The sequence below is a fragment of the Homo sapiens genome, chromosome 1, assembly GCF_000001405.40.
Source record: "Homo sapiens chromosome 1, GRCh38.p14 Primary Assembly".
NCBI lineage: Eukaryota > Metazoa > Chordata > Mammalia > Primates > Hominidae > Homo > Homo sapiens.
In genome coordinates, this window is record NC_000001.11 from 1,240,287 (window position 1) to 1,253,911 (window position 13,625).

Genomic DNA, 13,625 nt, shown 5'->3' on the forward strand with positions numbered 1-13,625 from the left:
CCAGGAGGTGAGGCTGAGAGAGAATGAAGGGGTGCAGCTGGGCTGGGCCAGAGGATGGAGCCTTGGCTGGGTGGGCTGGGAGCCTGGACCCTCCTGTGAGGCCGCCCACCCCACCCCGACCTGTCCATTCCTTTGCTCCTGGGTGCCCAGAGGGGGCTAGAGATGGCACATTCCAGGGGAATTGCGGCTAAGTGGCTGATCACCTCCCACTGGGGCAGAAACCAGGAGGCAGAGGCCAGGGAGGTGGTGCCAGCACCAGGACATCCCCACGCCCCCCATTCACCCTGGCCCCAGCCCCCCCCATTCACCCTGGCCCCCATGCCAGCCCCCAGCCACCCCCGACCAGCCCCCATCCCCCACCTCATTCACCCCGGCCGTGGTCCCTGCCCCAGCCCCCGCCGCCCCCATTCACCCGGGCCCTGGCCCCCAACTCATTCAGCCCCGGCCCCCCGCCCCACCACTCCACGTCTCTTTGTCTCTCATCACCATCTTGCTCTACGCGGCCCTGGGTCCCATTTCTGGCATGTCCATCTGTCATCACAGCTCCTACCTCCGGGACTGGGTAGGGTGGGGGACTGGCTGCTGCTGAAGAACCTAGAGGGCCCCCATTCCCGGATGGTGAGGCCCCAGGCGGTGTTCAGAAAGGCCTGGCTGGGTGCTGCCTGATCCTGGGTGCCTGCCCCCAGCCCGTTCTTGCCCAGGGTTGGCCCGTCAGTTTGGGGAGGAGCCACTGAAAACTGGAAGCAAACAGGGGAGTCCGCAGCCCAGGGCTCACGCCAACCAGGAAGGTGCAGGCCACGCTCCTGCCTCTGCCTCCTCAGGGCCCCCACACTGCTGTCCCCGCTGACCCAGCTCCAGGAGGGCCCGGCACAACCTTGGTTCCCCCTGTACAGATGCACAGCTGCCCGACTCTCTGGAAGGGAGCACTCTTGAGTGCTGTGGCCAAGCAGGGCAGGGGCTGCAGAAGGGAGACCCCCCGTTCCAGATCCAGGCCCCAGGGGGCAGGCCGTGCCCACAGAAGGGGTGCTGAGGGCAGAGAGGAGCCCCTAAGCCGGGGCCACAGCCTTGGCAAGTGAAGCAGAGGCCCCTCCAGACAGCCCCAGCCCCTGACGCCACTCTGGGGGGCCCAGGGAGAGAGGTGGGGACGGGTCACCACCCAAGCCCACCTCGTGCCGATTGGCGCCTGCCCACACACCTCGTCGCAGGGCTGGGCTGTCCCGCCTCACTGCCCAGCAAGCCTTGGGGAGGGCCCCTTCTGTGCCAGCCCCGGCAGCTCCAGGTCCCAGGGGAGGGGTAACAGCCGTGGGCTCTGGCCTCTTCCAACCTCCCCAACCCCACCAGCGACTAAGGGCTCTGGATGCCAACCAGAGATGGCATCTCCGCAGCTCAGCAGAGGCCTGGACGTCCTGAGGCCAGTTTACACTCTTTGGTGTGGGTTTGCCAGAGCCAAAATGGGGTGGGGGTGGGGCCCAAATCCACAGGACCTGCCAGGGAGCAGCAGCATGATGGTCACATATGGGGCCCACCCCACCCTCCATGGGGCAGTTCTGGCCCCTAAGGCCCCCGAGAGGCCCTGGTCATTAGAGTGCGGCCATACCGAGAGCAGGCGAGGAGAAGCCTGCTGGTTCCAGCCCTGCTCCACCTGGGTGCCCCGGGCACGGCACGGTCTGGGCGCACCTGAGCCCGCAGGGGTGCCTTTCAGCTCCACACGCCTGCGGCGGCCAGCACATGCAAGCACGCGGTCCCGTGTGTGGCATGCACGTCCTCTTGCCCTGCACAGAGCCCCCCACAGGACGCAGGCCTCCCGAGGGCCCAGAACAGTGCTGCTCTCCAACCTCTGGGGCTTCCAGTGCCCCACGGCCTGCTGCTCCCCCAAGGCTGGACAGGCCGTGGGCAGAGCTGAGTGGGGCCGGCACGGACAGTGGTCCTTGTCCTCAGGGTCGACGTGGCCCCTGCAGGGGCTACCAGGGCAGCGCCCAGCCTCTTGCCATCACCATAATCCCGGGCCAGGTAAGTCGGCCCCGAGGGAGGCTCTACGGCCCATACCCCAAGCTACCGGGCTCCCCTGTGAACAGCACCCTTCTGCCCCCACCCATCTCCCGCCGACCTCGGCAGCCTGGCTTCCACCCCCAGTGAAACATCCAGGCAGCACTCGAAGGCAGTGGGGAGGGTGGAGGGCTCTTTATTGTGGTGACCACGGGCATCAGTAGGAGGGTCCCCGGGATCCGGCGGCAGCTCCTCGCCAGCCCCCCTGGGCGCCCTCACGTGCCCAGGAGCAGCCCGGAGAAGCTGGAGCCCGCCTGGATGGTGAGGACGGCCCCGGAGCCATTGTCCACAAACACAGAAGCGTACTGTCCAGCCTGTAAGAAGCACGGGGACGTCACAACCGCAGCCACAGCCCAGCCACTCGGTGGCCAACGTCTGCCCACCTGCCCTGCGCTAGGAGGTGCCGAGGCCCCAGAGGTCTGCGCCCTGAGTGCACCGAGCTCACACCCGGCCCAGCCCGAGTGCACCCGAGCCCTCCCGCTCACACCCGGCCCGGACTCACCTGCAGCTGCAGCAGCCCCTGCACCTGTAGCGTGAAGACCCTGCTGTTGCTCTCCAGGCCTGAGACGGCCTCCAGGCACCTGAACACAGCCCCACAGGGCAAGAGGGAGGCGTTGCAGGTCCAGGGGGCCAAGACCTGCTCCAGTGCCCAGAGACCCCTGTGGCCTGTGAGCCCCTCCAAGGGTGGTCCGGGGGCTGCCGCCTGGAGCGGGGGCTGAGGTCACTCACGTGTGGCGCTGGCACAGGGACTCAATACAGATGAGAACACACACCACGTCCCGGGCCCGCAGCCGGGCCTTGCCCTGCAGCTCACTGTGGTCTGCGGAGAGAGCCCTGGGGAGGGTGGTGCATGGGGGGCGGGGTGGGGGCTGGTGGGGAGGGGCTTCAGGGCACACATCCCAGGACAGGCCCAGGAGTGGCTGCTGGGGCTGGGGAGGGGGCGCCTGAGGCCAGGCGTGCAGCAGGGACCCCATGCCCAGTCCAAGGCCCCCCATGGGGCAGGGGATAGGTCCCTAACAGGACCCGCACCCGGGGCCGGCGATGCCAGGCGCCCCCAGAAAGCTCAGCCCCAGCCCCGTCACAGCACACGGCACTGCCCCATCCGGCTCACCCACGTGCAGACTGGCAGAGAACTGGAAGATGCCGGACACGGGGGCCGTGAACCGACCCGAGGCCAGGCTCAGACCGGAGCCTCGCAGGAAGGCACCTTGGGCAGCAGGCTGTGAGGGGCAGTGGGTGAGCGGCCAGCGCAGGGCCTGGCCCCCACCCCACAGACCCCGCCTGGGGAAGGTGCCTGCAACCGACAGCCCCTCACTCGGAGCAGCTCTCCCGGGACCCTCACGCTCACTGTGGGCACCAGCAGGACTGACCCTCGAGTCCACACCCAGGAGGGTCTCCCTGCCTCCCGGCTACCGGGGACCCACGCTCCGTCTGGGCATAAAGTGTGATCTGGGCCCCCAGGGCCTCCCAACCCTGACCCGAGGCAGCCCCTCGCCCTCCGAGCCCCGCCCCCAGCCCCCAACCCACATGCTGCCCCATGAGTGTCAGGCGGTGTGTGTGGTCCCGTCTTGCCTGTGGGGCCCCACCCAACACCCCGCTCTAAGCTCCCGGCTCCACTCACAGCCTGGAAACCATGCAGCTCCACCAGCGTCCGCTTGTCCACCCGGCGGGGACCCTGCAGCCGGCAGTGAAAGGCCTCGCCCACCAGCCGCAGGCCCGCCCCCTGGGGCAGCAGCGGGTCCAGAAGCCCTGAGAACCGGCGCTCCGTGGCCTCTGTGGGGAGGAGGGCACAGGCGGCCAGCAGGGTCAGCACAGGGCCCAGGCACGTCTGGTCTCTGGGCAGTGCAGGGCGGCTGACCTTTCAGCAGCTCCTGAAACTCGTGAAGCAGAGTCTCCGCGGTCACTTCTGCACCTGGAGGTCCTGGGGGACCGAAGAGATCCCGCTGGGGGGAGAGAGAAGCAGGTGAGGGGCCCAGTGGGACCCGGTGGGAGCTACCACCACACCCTGTCCGGGGCTCAGACCCTGCAGCAGCCCGGGCGGGGCTCACCGGCTTCTTGTCCCTGCTTCCGCACCGCTTCCTTAAGGCGCCGTCGTCCGGCCGCCGGACAAAGTTCAGCCATGTCATGTGGGCGTCGGAGAACTCAGGTCCTGAGGCCTGGGATGGCTGAAGGGACGGGACGGGGCTAGCGCACTGAGGCTGCACCCTGCAGAGAGCTGGGACCCCAGGGCAGCGGGGAGCACTCAGGGCAGAACCAGGGAAGGCATCGCCGGCCAGGAGAAGGACCCACGGCCGCCCTTGGGGGAGTCAGAACCCTGACGTCCCAATGCCACCAGCAGGGCAGGCATGCGGGGCTTCTGTGGACACAGCCAGAGCCTGATGCCCTGAGCCCCTCACTCCTCCCCCACTCCTCCCCCTCCTCCCCCCACTCCTCATCCCACTCCTTCCCCCACTCATCTCCCTCCTCCCCCACTCCTCATCCCACTCCTTCCCCCACTCATCTCCCTCCTCCCCCCACTCCTCATCCCACTCCTTCCCCCACTCATCTCCCTCCTCTCCCCTCCTTTCCCACCTCCCCCTCCTCCTCCTCTTCCCCCTCTTCCCCCCACTCCTCCCCATTCCTCTCCCCTCCTCCCCCACTCCTTCCCCCACTCATCTCCCTCCTCCCCCACTCCTCTGCCCTCCTCTCCCACTCCTCCCCCTCCTCCCCCCACTCCTCATCCCCCTCCTCCCCCACTCCCCCCTCCTCCCCCTACTCCTCATCCCACTCCTTCCCCCCACTCCTCATCCCACTCCTTCCCCCACTCATCTCCCTCCTCCCCCACTCCCCCTCCTCCCCCACTTTTCACCCTCCTCCCCCCACTCTTCCCCCTCCTCCCCGCACTCTTCTCCCCTCCTCCCCCACACCTCTCCCCTCCTCCCCCCACCCTACCCTCTCCTCCCCCCATTCCTCCCCCACTCCTCAGGCATCCGCTATCCGCTTGCTGTCCTGTTGACCACCACCGCAATGTGCTGAAGGGACCCGGCGCCCTGGAGGGGCCTGTACCTCAGCCTATCTGGGGGCTGAGAGCCAGAGGCAACAGAGAGCAGGCTGCAGGAGAACCGCCCAACCCTGGAAGCCTGGAGGGCCAGCCTGAGCACACACCTCACAGCCCTCCAGCCGGCACCCTTTGAGGGAGGCCCGCCACCCTGCAGGGTCTCTGGAGGAGTGGCCCTGGGCAGTGGGGTGCCCCCTCCCTTCCAGGGGGACTGGCCCGGACTGCTGAAGACCCCCCCACTGCCCCGCCCCTGCCAGCACTGCCAGCCTGGCCCTAGCGCCGGGAACCAGCCCACTCTTCCTGAGCTGGCAGAGCCGCGGCCTCAACCCTCCTCAGCCTTCCCATCTGGGAAACGGGACCTCGGGCTCCAGCGGGGCCGCGTGGGCTGAGAGGCAGCCGGGCTGGCTGCAGCAGAGACGCCCTCGGGAGGAGGGAGACCAGCATCAAAGGTGTGAGGGCCGGGGATGGGGGCTGCTCTGGCAACTGCGGCTCCCCTCCCAGTCCTGGGGCCCACGACGGCGGCAGCAAGACCTGCCCTCCAAGACCCCTGGAGAGACCCTGAGCAGGAGAGAGGAAGCCCAGGGTTGAGGTGGGCTTGGGGCCTTCTGTCTTTGTGAGGACGCCCGGCCTGACTGGGGCCCCAGGACTTAACCCGCAAGAGGGGGTGCTAGCTACACAGGACCCCCAGAAAGCACAAGGGACAGGCTCGCCATGGCGTCTCCAGCCGCAGGAGTCATGGGGCGCTGGACTCCCAAGGGGTCTGGTGAACCATCCAGCAAGCAGCCGGAACCACCCCACCCCCGCCCCCAAATCAGCAATTAACCTAATAGCAACAGGTTCCTCAGAGCGCGGCAGGCCCACGCTTCAAAGGGTTAACTGCGGCCCCCAACCGCGGGAAGCCCCCTTCACCCACCCACCCCAGGCCAGCTGGGGGCCAGGTCTCCGCTGCAGAGGAGGAGAGGGCTTCCCAGAGGCCGGCCTGGCTGGGCTGCAGCAGATTCTCAAGGCGGGACCGTGGCCGAGGCCTCGAAAAGGGCGACCCGGAGGCAGAGCCGGCAGGGACAGAGCCTGCTGGGGGAGGACGCCCCAGAGCCCCAGCTCCGAAGCTGCCCCGCGAGGGCCCACGTGCGTCCCGGCCGCGTACCTTGGGGGCCTCGGGCAGCCCCTCGCGGGAGGACGCGCTGGCGGTGGCGTTGGGGGGATCTGCGCGCTGGCCAGGCTGCTGCGTCCTCTGTGCCTCCCGCCGGGCCCCGACGCCCCCGAGGAGCACGAGCTGCGGCCCGAGGAGGACCACGACCGCGGCCCAGGCCCAGCGCCGCATGGCTCCGTCCCGAGGCGGCTCAGCGCGGCGAGTCTCGGCGCCAGGGCGCAGTCATGGGGACGGCCGGCGCTCAGAGCCCCCGCGCGGGGGCGAGGCCCAGGGGCGCGCCCGGCCTCCGCCGCTGCATGTCTGCGCGGACCTGCCCGGAACGGCGGCGCGACGGCGCTCAGGTCCCCCCGGGGTCCCGCTCCAGCCCCCGCTCCCAGCCCCCGTCCTCTCTGGCCTCCTCACTCCGCCGCCCAGTAAATCCTCCCCTCGCCTCCTCCTCCCCAGACCTCGCAGGCTCCAGGGTGGGGGCTCACACTCGGACGATCAGCCAGCCGCCCGGGCGCCCCGACGGCCAGGGACGGAGACGGGGCGGAGACCCCCACTGACCCCGGCCGCTGCTTCTTGCCTCCCGTCCCCAGACCCCACCCTGCCCCCATTGCTTCCCCAAAGGTCCACCTCATTCTGGGAACCGTGAAGACAGCAGCCTACCTCCTCGCCCTCCCTGCCAGCTGAACTCAACCTGGCTCCCCTCACAGCAGCCTCTGCAGCCAGCCACCGGAGGGCAGCTACCAGCCAGCCAAAGCCCCAGCCCCTTCCCACGACCTCCTCACCCAGGCTCCCCCGGGTGCCCCGCCCTGACTCACGGCCCCGGCCCAGGGTCCTGGGGGTGCTGGCCGGCCTCGCTGGGGCCCCACTCGGGGGAAAGGTGAGGCCAGATCATGGCGACAGGCCCCTTGGGCTCAGTGGCTGGAGGAATGGGGTGGCCAGGTGGGGCTGGAAGACCCTCCAGCCGCTGGTCCTGGCCGAGGCTAACAGTGGCCCAAGGTCAACATGCCGGCCCTGATGGACAGCTCGGAACACTCCAGACCCTCCCCTCTTGCCAGACACGAAGGTAGCCACGCCGAGACCCCAGCGTCAACCCCAGCCCCAGGCCACATCCACAGGCAGAGCCACGGGAGACCAGGCTGGGATGGGGATGACGCTTGGGAACCCACCAGGGACCCCGGCTGCCCCCTCGCCCTCCGGGCTCTCAGGCACTGACTGGCATCTCCAGAGAGCACTGTGGAAGCCTCCCGGCCCCGTGTCCGCTCGTGAAGGTGGTGGAGGACCCTGGGGACACGGCACAGCGCCCACACAGTACCAGCCCTGCTGGACCCCCGCAGGTGAGCCCTGGATGTGGCCTGCATCTAGCATGGGTCGGGAAAGGCAGCCCCAACACCCCTCAATCCAGGCTTGGGGCAAAGGGAGGGGTGGGCAGGTGCCCTGGCCAAGGAGACCCCCCGCCCAGGGCTACCAGACCCCTCCTCACAGGCAGGGCATCCAAATTTTCTCTGTCACCCACTGGCAATGAGCTCCCCTGTGACTCTAGACAGAACAGGCTGGATCTCCAACTCTGACCTACAGGCAGGAAAGTGGGCAGCCCTGGGAGGCTGGACTGAGGGAGGCTGGACTTCCCACTCAGGCCTACACGCAGGAAAATGGGCAGCCCTGGGAGGCTGGACCGAGGGAGGCTGGGCCTCCCACTCCACCCTACAGGCCAGGACACGGGCAGCCCTGGGAGGCTAGACCGAGGGAGGCTGGGCCTCCCATCTACCCTACAGGCCGGGACACAGGCAGCCCTGGGAGGCTGTACCGAGGGAGGCTGGGCCTCCCCCTCTGCCCTACAGGCAGGAAAACGGGCAGCCCTGGGAGGCTGGACCAAGGGAGGCTGGACTTCCCACTCTACCCTACAGGCAGGAAAACAGGCAGCCCTGGGAGGCTGGACCGAGGGAGGCTGGGCCTCCCACTCTGCCCTATAGGCCGGGACACAGGCAGCCCTGGGAGGCTAGACCGAGGGAGGCTGGGCCTCCCACTCTGCCCTACAGGCAGGAAAACGGGCAGCCCTGGGAGGCTGGACCAAGGGAGGCTGGACTTCCCAATCTACCCTACAGGCAGGAAAACAGGCAGCCCTGGGAGGCTGGACCGAGGGAGGCTGGGCCTCCCACTCTGCCCTACAGGCCGGGACACAGGCAGCCCTGGGAGGCTGGAGCAAGGGAGGCTGGGCCTCCCACTCCGCCCTACAGGCCGGGACACGGGCAGCCCTGGGAGGCTAGACCGAGGGAGGCTGGGCCTCCCACTCTGCCCTACAGGCAGGAAAACGGGCAGCCCTGGGAGGCTGGACCGAGGGAGGCTGGACTTCCCACTCTACCCTACAGGCAGGAAAACGGGCAGCCCTGGGAGGCTGGAGCGAGGGAGGCTGGGCCTCCCACTCCGCCCTACAGGCCGGGACACGGGCAGCCCTGGGAGGCTGGAGCGAGGGAGGCTGGGCCTCCCACTCCGCCCTACAGGCCGGGACACGGGCAGCCCTGGGAGGCTGGAGCGAGGGAGGCTGGGCCTCCCACTCCGCCCTACAGGCCGGGACACGGGCAGCCCTGGGAGGCTGGACCGAGGGAGGCTGGGCCTCCCACTCCGCCCTACAGGCCGGGACACGGGCAGCCCTGGGAGGCTGGACCGAGGGAGGCTGGGCCTCCCACTCCGCCCTACAGGCCGGGACACGGGCAGCCCTGGGAGGCTGGACCGAGGGAGGCTGGGCCTCCCACTCCGCCCTACAGGCCGGGACACGGGCAGCCCTGGGAGGCTGGACCGAGGGAGGCTGGGCCTCCCACTCCGCCCTACAGGCCGGGACACGGGCAGCCCTGGGAGGCTGGACCGAGGGAGGCTGGGCCTCCCACTCCGCCCTACAGGCCGGGACACGGGCAGCCCTGGGAGGCTGGACCGAGGGAGGCTGGGCCTCCCACTCCGCCCTACAGGCCGGGACACGGGCAGCCCTGGGAGGCTGGACCGAGGGAGGCTGGGCCTCCCACTCCGCCCTACAGGCCGGGACACGGGCAGCCCTGGGAGGCTGGACCGAGGGAGGCTGGGCCTCCCACTCCGCCCTACAGGCCGGGACACGGGCAGCCCTGGGAGGCTAGACCGAGGGAGGCTGGGCCTCCCCCTCTGCCCTACAGGCAGGAAAACGGGCAGCCCTGGTGTAGAGGGCAGCCCTACAGGGTTTGTGGGTTTTTCTCCCCGTGTGCGGAGATGAGAGATCGTAGAAATAAAGATACAACACAAAGAAATAAAAAAGACAGCTGGGCCCGGGGGACCACTACCACCAAGATGTGGAGACCGGTAGTGGCCCCGAATGCCAGGCTGCGCTGTTATTTATTGGATACAAGACAAAGGGGCAGGATAAGGAGCGTGAGCCATCTCCAGTGATAGGTAAAGTCACGTGGGTCACGTGTCCACTGGACGGGGGCCCTTCCCTGTTTGGCAGCCAAGGCAGGGGCCAGGGAGAGAGAGAGACAGCTTACGCCATTATTTCTGCTTATCAGAGACTTTTAGTACTTTCACTAATTTTGCTACTGTTATCTAAAAGGCAAAGCCAGGTGTACAGGATGGAACGTGAAGGCGGACTAGGAGTGTGACCGCTGAAGCACAGCATCATAGGGAGACGGTTAGGCCTTCGGATAACTGTGGGTGGGCCTGACCCTCCACAAGAGGTGGAGGAGTAGAGTCTTCTCTAAACTCCCCCGGGGAAAGGGAGACTCCCCTTCCCAGTCTGCTAAGTAGCGGGTGTTTTCCCTTGACACTGACGCTACCGCTAGACCACGGTCTGCTTAGGTCACGGGTGCCTTCCCAGGCGCTGGCGTTACTGCTAGACCAAGGAGCCCTCTGGTGGCCCTGTCCGGGCGTAACGGAAGGCTCGCACTCTTGTCTTCTGGTCACTTCTCACCATGTCCCCTCAGCTCCTATCTCGGTATGGCCTGGTTTTTCCTAGATTATGATTATAGAGCGAGGATTATTATAATATTGGAATAAAGAATAATTACTACAAACTAATGATTAGTGACACATATGGTCTATACCAAGTATAACTCTTATTTTATATATTTTGTTACACTGGGACAGCTTGTGCCCTCGGTCTCTTCCCTCGGCACCTGGGTGACTTGCTGCCCTCACCCTGGGAGGCTGGGCCTAACTGGGAAGGATGTGGCTTCGTGTTCCCAACCCCAGGCACCTTTAAAATGAGCTGAGCCTGGCACCCAGGCAGGAACACTCAGCCCCCATGCTCCCTCTAGAAGACGACCAAGAGGACCCCACCCTCTGGGTCACCCACCAAGGATCCAGGGTACCCTGGGCCACAGCCACGAGCTGCTCACAAGGGGAGGCTCAGGTGCAGCTGCTGGCTCTGCTCACCCCCTGCACCCCCCAACGCAGACACCCTGACACCCCCCGGCCCTGGAAAAATGGCAAAGGACCACGGTGCCCTGCCCAGCCGCCTGCTGCAGGGAGAGCAGCTCCCTCAGACCCGGAGTGCTCTGCTGTGCCGGCTGGTTCATCAGCACTCAGGCAGGCCTGGGCATGCGCTCACAGAGAAGCTCGAGGTTGCCAGAACACAGGAAACGCCTCTTCTTTCCTGTGACCACGAGGCCACGTGCTCACCTGTCTGCAGAATATCAACTTTTAAGGGGCTTTTCTCTCCTCATTAAAAGACTTCACAGTGTGCTCTGCATGGCGAGGGGACACACCGTGCTCCCAGGGGGAAGTCAAGGACGGCCTCCACCGGTGACAACACAAGAACAGAGGGGCCCACGATTCCTCTAAGGGAGACGGGGACAGAGGGTCAGACGTGCCCGGCCCAACAGGCCAAACATCATTTTTTTTTTTTTTTTAGACAGAGTCTCACTCTGTCAGCCAGGCTGGAGAGCAGTGGCACGATCTTGGCTCACTGCAACCTCCACCTCCTGGACTCGAGTGATTCTCCTGCCTCAGCCTCCTGAGTAGCTGGGATTACAAGCACATGCCACCATGCCCGGCTAATTTTGTATTTTCAGTAGAGACAGGGTTTCACCATGTTGGCCAGGCTGGTCTCGAACTCCTGACCTCAGGTAATCTGCCCACCTCAGCCTCCCAAAGCGCTGGGATTACAGGAGTGAGCCACCACGCCCGGCCCAAACATCATTTTTTATTTTGGGCCAGTGCGGACAACATGCCACGGGCACCACCTTCACTGCTTGACCGATGATCGCTAAAAGTTGAGATTTCAGTTGGGCGTGGTGGCTCACGCCTGTAATCCCAGCACTTTGGGAGGCTGAGGCAAGCAGATCACGAGGTCAGGAGTTTCAGACCAGCCTGGCCAATATGGTGAAACCCCGTCTCTACTTAAAATTAGCTGGGTGTGGTGGCAGGCACCTGTAATCCCAGCTACTTGGGAGGCTGAGGCAGGAGAATCACTTGAACCCAGGAGGCAGAGGTCACAGTGAGCAGAGATCACGCCACTGTACTCCAGCCTGGGCGACAGAGCAAGACTCCGTCTCAAAAAAAAAAAAAAAGTTGAGATTTTAGTCGGGCGCGGTGGCTCACGCCTGTGATCCTAACACTTTGGGAGGCCGAGGCAGGTGGATCCCTTGAGCTCAGGAGTTCAAGACCAGCCTGCGCAACATGACGAAACTCCATCTCTACAAAAAATACAAAAATTAGCCAGGCATGGTGGCGCACACTTGCGGTCCCAGATATGTAGGGGGCTGAGTTTGGAGGATCCCTTGAGCCCAGGAGGTCACCGTTACATGTGGGCGGCAAGCCACCCAGGTGCCGAGGCAAGAGACCGAGGGCATGAGCTGTTCCAGTGTAATAAAGAAAATATACACAATAAGAATAGTTACACTAGAAATAGATTATAGATGTGATGATATATGAATATTCTTAATCATTAGTTTCTAGCATTACTCTTCATTCCAATATTATAATAATCTCTGTTCTACAACTATAACCTAGGAAAAACCAGGCCATACAGAGATAGGAGCTGAGGGGACATAGTGAGAAGTGACCAGGAGACAAGAGTGTGAGCCCTCTGTCACGCCCGGACAGGGCCACCAGAGGGGTCCCTGGTCTAGCGGTAGCGCTAGCGCCTGGCAAGGCACCAGTTACTTAGCAGACGGGGAAAGGGAGTCTCCTTTTCCCCGGGGGAGTTAGAGAAGACTCTGCTCCACCATCTCTTGTGCAAGGCGACATCAGTCAGGCCCACCCGCAGCCATCCAGAGGCCCGTCTCCCCGTGATGCTGTGCTTCAGCGGTCACACTCCTGGTCTGCTTTCGTGGTCCGCCCTGTACACCGGGCTCCGCCTTCTAGATAGCAGTAGCACAATGAGTGAAAGTACTAAAAGTCTTTGAAATACATAGAAGAAAGAATGGTGTAAGCTGTCCTCTCTCTCTCTCCGCCTCGGCTGCCAAACAGGGAAGGGCCCCCTGTCCAGTGGACACGAGACACACGTGACCTTACCTATCATTAGAGATGGCTCACGCTCCTTACCCTGCCCCCTTGCCTTGTATCCAATAAATAACAGCGCAGCCAGGCATTCGGGGCCACTACCGGCCTCCACATCTAGGTGGTAGTGGTCCCCCGGGCCCAGCTGTCTTTTCTTCTATCCCTGTCTTGTGTCTTTATTTCTATGATCTCACATCTCTCCGTACACAAGAAGAACCCACAGGCCCAGTAGGGCTGGACCCTGCAGTTACAGGGAGCCATGATAGCACCATTGCACTCCACACTGGGCAACAACAGAGCAAGACTTTGTCTCCAAAAAACAAAAAAACAAAGTTGAGATTTCACATCTAGACGACATTTGAGACAGGGTCTGGCTTCGCTGCCCAGGCTGGATTGCGGTGGCTCCATCATGGCTCACTGTAGCCTCCACCTGCCGGGCTCAGGCAATCCTCCCACCTCAGCCTCCTGAGTAGCTGGGACCAAAGGTGCACATCACCACACCAGGTAGTGTTTTGTATTTTTTGTGAGATGGGGTCTCACTACATTGCCCAGGCTGGGTTCAAGAGATCCACCCCTCAGCCTCCCAAAGTGCTGGGATTATAGGCGGCAGCCACTGCACCCGGCAGTAGCGTGTTGAGTAAACACTCTATTCGTTAGCATTCCCCCTCCCATGAGCCTCGGGAGACACCGGGCTTTGGAAGTGATGCTGGCGGTCACAGAAGCGGAGATCAGGGCAGGGCTGGCATCCAGTACGGGATGGGGAGAGAGCCCTGCAGAGGGCTCTACACCATGGCTCCAGCGACGCGATTCCCTGTGGGGACCCACCTGCCCTGCAGCTGCCACACCACCCCAGGCCAGCAGGTGTGACCCCCTGGTCACGGGCCACCCCAGCCCTGAGCACAGAGATGGACACACATCCCGGCCCACACAGACACAAGCAGCATGAAA

At 64.7% G+C, this 13,625-nt stretch overlaps 1 protein-coding gene across 6 annotated transcripts, besides 3 other annotated features; it reads right to left on the reverse strand.

Moving 5' to 3' along the window:
- Window positions 1–2,166: 2,166 nt before the first annotated feature.
- Window positions 2,167–6,994, reverse strand: C1QTNF12 (C1q and TNF related 12). 6 transcript variants are annotated; one of them, XM_047419982.1, is made up of 8 exons: window positions 6,882–6,994; window positions 4,095–4,211; window positions 3,905–3,989; window positions 3,668–3,819; window positions 3,158–3,266; window positions 2,776–2,866; window positions 2,549–2,627; window positions 2,167–2,360 (listed from the first exon to the last, which is right to left on the reverse strand). In XM_047419982.1, exons 2-8 carry the CDS (start codon window positions 4,170–4,172, stop codon window positions 2,262–2,264), a joined length of 693 nt encoding a protein of 230 aa, XP_047275938.1. In that variant the 5' UTR covers window positions 4,173–4,211; window positions 6,882–6,994; the 3' UTR covers window positions 2,167–2,261. The 6 variants fall into 6 exon arrangements, with proteins under 6 accessions (XP_047275938.1, XP_011539739.1, XP_011539738.1 ...); XM_011541437.2 differs by having other exon boundaries at window positions 2,776–2,880; window positions 6,882–6,932; XM_011541436.3 differs by lacking the exon at window positions 6,882–6,994 and adding an exon at window positions 6,228–6,436 and having other exon boundaries at window positions 3,162–3,266.
- Window positions 6,379–7,160: an enhancer, noted in NCBI's record as "H3K27ac-H3K4me1 hESC enhancer chr1:1182045-1182826 (GRCh37/hg19 assembly coordinates)". NCBI's record gives its function as "activates a minimal SCP1, AML or CMV promoter by ChIP-STARR-seq in naive H9 embryonic stem cells {active_cell/tissue: H9 hESC(naive)}" and the evidence as "EXISTENCE:reporter gene assay evidence [ECO:0000049][PMID:30033119]".
- Window positions 7,161–7,941: an enhancer, noted in NCBI's record as "H3K27ac-H3K4me1 hESC enhancer chr1:1182827-1183607 (GRCh37/hg19 assembly coordinates)". NCBI's record gives its function as "activates a minimal SCP1, AML or CMV promoter by ChIP-STARR-seq in naive H9 embryonic stem cells {active_cell/tissue: H9 hESC(naive)}" and the evidence as "EXISTENCE:reporter gene assay evidence [ECO:0000049][PMID:30033119]".
- Window positions 10,868–11,147: an enhancer, noted in NCBI's record as "active region_14". NCBI's record gives its function as "activates an Ori minimal core promoter by ATAC-STARR-seq in GM12878 lymphoblastoid cells {active_cell/tissue: GM12878}" and the evidence as "EXISTENCE:reporter gene assay evidence [ECO:0000049][PMID:35858748]".